General features: G+C 33.5%; 1 long non-coding RNA gene across 1 annotated transcript; it reads left to right on the forward strand.

Moving 5' to 3' along the window:
• The first annotated feature begins 532 nt into the window (after positions 1–532).
• On the forward strand, positions 533–5,638 carry LOC107987190 (uncharacterized). The gene is made up of 2 exons (XR_001750010.1): positions 533–616; positions 5,506–5,638. It is a non-coding gene; the product is annotated as an uncharacterized LOC107987190 (long non-coding RNA).
• The last annotated feature ends 362 nt before the right edge of the window (positions 5,639–6,000 follow it).

Consider the following 6,000-nt stretch of genomic DNA (forward strand, 5'->3'; position numbering starts at 1 on the left):
TTTCTAAATTGATTGAGACCTGTCTCAGGTATTTTGGGCTCACAGCATAAATACTATTCCACTTCTTTTGAGAGAAGCTTAAATGCATCTGGAGATGGGCCGTCAGTGTTAAGAATCTAATTGAAGCAACTAGTCATGAAGAAAAGAGTTAAGCATTTAATCACTTACTGTCATGCTTTAACAAGAGGCTAAAACCATAAAAAGGGCCAACCCCCTCCAATCCATTTCCTTTCAAAGAATGGCATTGCAGTGCAGGGTCAGGTGGATCAGCACAGATGTGTGGGTCATTGCCCGGTAGAGAGAGCCTCCAAAAAAGCTCCAACAGTTTTAAGGACTTTGGGGGTCAGGGGACAAAGTTGAAGGAGAGAACTAGGTATGAAAAATTACTGAGAATTGAATCACAGCAGACAAAAGTTTCAGTTTCCTCTTTTCCCCTGATAAGGAGACCTCATTAGAAATGCCGGAAGAGGGTGTCAGATGAAGGCAAAGAGACCTAGGAATAAAGGTGACTGTGCTAGGAAGAACTGGAAAGAAACATGTAAGAATCAGAGATATTTATGGAAAATGATGATACTTTCTTTACTTCCAGGTATTAGAGGAATATGATTCGAAAGAGGTAATGGCCTAAGATTTTAATATCTATGTTTACTAGTATTATTCTAAAAGTAGACAAAATATTTCTTACTACAGGACTAACTAAGTCATTTCCATTTGCCCTAGGGTAATCTAATGAGAGCCAGATGTCTTGCTATACCTACTTATGACTGTACTGTGAGAGCCCCAAAATAGGGTCTAGGTGTTTATTCAGGAGAGGAACCCTTGTACCCTCACTCCTCCTAAGAAAGAAAGATGAACACACCACAGTATAAACAAATTCTCCTCTTGAAAACATGGGAAAGATTCTTGGTTCCTATGATTTAGAAATGTTACTAAGTGTCTCTAGGGGAAGATATGATAGGGGTTTTCAAATTTAAAACATGAGATTAATCCCTTTTGGAATATAATTACATAGGAAGATAACTCATTAAATTGCTCTGGAAGTTTCTTGGCTATTCAGTTACCTTTTCCATCAATTCAGGACCCTTCTCCTTGAAATTACGTGGTCAAAAGAGATAAGAAAAAGATGTATATCTTTTGAGTGAAAGCAAATAGTTTTAAGATTAAGGAAGCCAATGGCTGCAAGCCTAACACCTATAGCATGTGAGGAACAAATACTTCTGGGAGATACAAAAGCAAACATACTCTATTTCATAACATATAAATGTCCATAACTCTGGAGACCAGGACTTTGAAGGAAGATTGAAAATTGTGGGAAAGACTTGTCTTCCCTCAGTGACGTAACTGAATCCTATAGAAAGTTTTTAGAGTGGTAGAAACAATAAGCTAGATAATTTCAAGGCAGATGTCCTTGAGAAAAGTGTCTTGTACCTCTCAATTATAATCAGAGACAGCTATCCAGTTTGCCTAATTGCCTAGTTGTTGGGTCAATTATGACAGTAGAAAATAAGGAAAATTTGCATTTTTAAAGAAACCTAAAAGGTGGCTATTTTTCTATGAAAAAAATATGAATTACAAAGTATTAGAAAAAATACTAACTTTTTTTATGTCTTTTCTCTCACAAAGTATTAGAAAACATACTAACTTTTTTTTTTTTTTGAGACGGAGTTTTGCTCTTGTTGCCCAGGCTGGAGTGCAACGGAGCAATCTCAGCTCACCGCAACCTCCGCCTCCCAGGTTCAAGTGATTCTCCTTCCTCAGACTCCCAAATAGCTGGGATTACAGGCATGCACCACCATGCCCGGCTAATTTTGTATTTTTAGTAGAGATGGGGTTTCTCCACGTTGGTCAGGCTAGTCTTGAACTCCCAACCTCAGGTGATCCACCTGGGGTTACAGGGTGCTGGGATTACAGGCGTGAGCCATCACACTCTGCCAATATTATCATTTTTGATGTCTTTTCTCTCACAAAGTATTAGAAAAAATATTAACATTTTTGATATCTTTTCCCTCATAGTGTAACTGTGATAACTTAAAGATATTAGTACTTTAAGAATAATGTTAAGTGTCATTAAACATGTAAAAAAGAATGCATGATACAAAAGTTTATTAAAAAACTCAAGTGTGCTTCTCTAGTCTATAAACAATAATGCTGCTTGACTCTGCACAAATTGGCAGTCATAAAAATTCTGTAAAAAGGCATTTTAAAGATATAATACTGAATTTCATGATCAGAAGGGCATGTATTGTTATTTGAGCCTGTCAGATGATTAATGAGGATGAAGCTTCCAAAAATTAATTAGCTGAAAAGAACATCTACCGATTTCAGTAACTTTCCATGGAAAGCATACAATTTTATGACAAACATCTTCTCCTTTTGTAGCTATTACCTAGTAATTTTGTAGATCCCTAAATCTGAATGCAAATGAGCTAAGTGTTAACCCATCTAAAAAACGCAATTATTGTTTGAGTAAAATTATCATTATAAGAACATTAGTTTAAGGCTATAAAATTGATTATTTTTGCCAAGTATCTTCCATTTGAAGGTTAATGTGTACTTAAAACACTTTAAAAAATTTCTTCTGTCTTCCTAAATGTCAGTAATAGTCAGTACTTAGTGTTTGTTAAAAAAAAAAAAAATGTATAAGATGTGTTTAATCCAAATCTCACCATGGCTTTCTATTGATCTGTCATAATTTATCATCTATTTATCTAAGTTTTAAACTGCTTCTACATATATTTTAATTATTTTGAATTTATGGACAATAAGCTACATCTATGTTATTTAATAAAGCATCCACTAAAAAATTGAGCTTACTCAAAAGTGAATACAATAACAACAAAATACCAGATTTGATTTTTCTGGTATTTGATTATGTCACACAAACTTTATCTCTTTTGTTACTTTATTAATCATTCTTTGACCAAAGATTTATTAAGGCCCTGCTATGTGCCAGAGAGTATGCTAGATATTATGCTTTGCAAAGATTACTGAGCTTTGAATCAAATATATTGCATGATAATTAATATCTTTGTCTTTGAAACCAGGAAGACTTGAGTACAAGTCCAATTCTATCACTTAGGGTTTGCGAATGACACTTCAGCTGATAATTGTATACATTTTCTTATTGCTATCTTAACTATACCTAAAATACCAATAATATAAATAACAAAATTATGATTTCAAATGAATATAGACACAGAAATTATACCTTCACAAAAATTTATTGAAATGGGTCAAAGATATAAACATAAAATATAAAAACATAAAACTCCTAGAAAACAACATAGGAGAAAATTTAGATACCTTGGTTTGGCAATCACTTTTCACACATAAAAACAAAAGCATAACCCATGAAAAAATCTGAAAATGTGAACTTCATTAAAATTAAAACTTGTCATATGCAAATAATACTTGTCAAAGAATGGAAAGAGAGATCTCAGTGTCAGAGAAAATTTTTGCAAAATAGATGTGATAAAGGACTGGTATCTAAAATATATAAAGAACTCATGGAACTCAATAAAAAATAGCTAAAAATTTGCAATAAATCTCACTGATACTTCATCAAAGAAGATATACAGATGGAAAATGAGCATATAAGATCATCAACATCATATGTCAGGTCATTAGAGATTTGCAAATTAAAGCAACAGTAAGATATCGCTACATATCTGTTAGAATGGCCAAAATTTTCAATAATGACAATGCTAAATGCTGACTGGGATGGGGAGTAACAGGAACTGTCTTTCGTCGCTGGTGGGAGTGTAAAATGGTACAGCCACTGTGGAAGATGATTTCTTAGTTATTTACAAAAGTAAACATACTCTTGCCATACAATCCAGCAATTGCATTCCTTGATATTTATCCAAATGAGTTGACAACTTATATATGCACAAAAATATTTATACTAGCTCTATTTATAATTGCCAAAACATGGAAATGACCAAGATATAGTGCAAGAGATGAATGAATAAACAAACACATACTGTATGATTCCAACTATATGACACTTTGAAAAAGGTAAAACCATAGAGACAGAGAAAAGATCAGTGGTTGGTGAGGGTATGGGGGTTTGAGTAGAGACAAAAAAGAAGGAGTACAGGAGATGTGTAGGGCAGTAAATGTTTTTGTATGACACCGTGATAATTGAGAAGTCATTACATATTTGTCAAAACCCGTAGAATGTATAACACAAACAATGAACCCTAAATGATGAACTTTATTAACTTTAGTTAATAATAATATATCAATATTGGTTCATCAATTATATCAAGTATACCACACTAACAGAAGATGCAAATAATAGATCAACCTGTATGTGGAGAGACAGGGCATACGTGGGAACTCTATACTTTCTGTTTATTTTTATGTAAGGATAAAACTATCCTAAAAATAACGTTCATTTCATAAAAAAGATGAAGGGAAGATTCAGAGAAGACTGCAAAAAAATAGAGCTTTATGTGTTTTCATCTTGCTCTTGGCTCAGTGCATGATGAATAGATATAAGAACTATAAGGCAGTAGTGTTGCTGATGAATATGGTAAGGAAGATAATAAGAGAAAAAAGAGAAAATCTTAGATTGATGTGATAAGTATCACTTTACCAAAAAAGAGCTTACCAAACTTAGAAGAATAAATGAGTACCTCCATTAGGGTTGGGAGACTGAGAACAACTATGTAGAAAGTTTTTATAGAAAAATGCCATTTAAGCTGAGATTTTTAAGGATAAGTAAATTTGATTAGACAGAGCAGGAAGTAAAGAAGCTTCCCAGAGTAGAAATGGCATTTGCAAAGCAAAAGTATCATGAAAACTGGCAAATTTAGGAAAATGACTAGTAAATATGTCAGAAGTACTAAATGCATGACAAGATACAGAGATGAATTTGTAAGCCAGGAGTCCTTTAAAGATATACTACAGATTACTTGGTTTATGTTCTAAAAGTTTAAACAATGAGTATTGGAGTTATAATAATTAGCAATTTGCTTTCAATATTCAGATTAAAAAGTTATTGAATAGGATTTTCAGACTGCTTATCCAGCAATCTAGTATTCAGTATTTTTGAGGTTCATGAAAATGCATAATTTTAGGTGGGATTTTAGATTTGGGGTTAAACCTAAGATTAATTGCCAGTAGAGATAAACTAAAGAACCTACAGATATTTAGGTATTGAAGTACTTCAGAAAATTTTTATTGATTACTTCAACATGAAAGACAATGGTAAAATATGCATTTCTCATTTTCTCCTTCAAAAAATTTTACTGAGTGAGAATGAATGGGTGAAATTTTATTACTGCTGCTTTGCTATGATTGAAATGTCCCCTTCAAAACTCAGTTGAAATGTAATTGTCATTGTGATAGTATTAAAGGTGGACTAATTAAGAGGTGATTAGGCCATGAAGGTACTCTCTTCATGAGTGGATTAAATGTTGTCATCATGGAAGTGTGTTTTTATCACAAGAATGAGTTGCTGTAAAAAGCAAGTTTAGTTCTCTCTTGTTGCTTTCTTAGGCTTTCTTGGCCTTCTGCCTTCCACCATTAGATGATGCAGCAAGAAGACCATCACCAGGTACTGACACACCTTAATTTTGGACTTTCCAGCCTCCAGAAGCATGAGAAATAAATTTATTTTCTTTATAAATTACCCAGTCTGTGTATTCTATTATTGCAACACAAAGTGGACTAAGACAGAAAATTGGGACCAAGAAATGGGACTGTTGCTATAAGAGATACTTGAAAATGTGAAAGTGGCTTTGGAACTGGCTAATGAATAGAGGATGGAAGAATTTGGCAGAGTAGGCTAGAAAAACCCTAACACTCTGAACACTGAGTAATAAGGGCAATTTTGGTGAGGGCTTAGAAGAGCCTAGCTGTAGGGAAAGTCTGGAAATTCTTATAGATTATTTAAATGTTGTGACCAAAATGTTGGCAGAAATATGGACAATAAAGGTCATTTTGGTGAGGTCTCAGAGTAAAAAAGAAATATCTTATTGGAAACTGAGGTAA

This window comes from Homo sapiens, chromosome 13 (genome assembly GCF_000001405.40).
Source record: "Homo sapiens chromosome 13, GRCh38.p14 Primary Assembly".
In the NCBI taxonomy this organism is placed as follows: domain Eukaryota; kingdom Metazoa; phylum Chordata; class Mammalia; order Primates; family Hominidae; genus Homo; species Homo sapiens.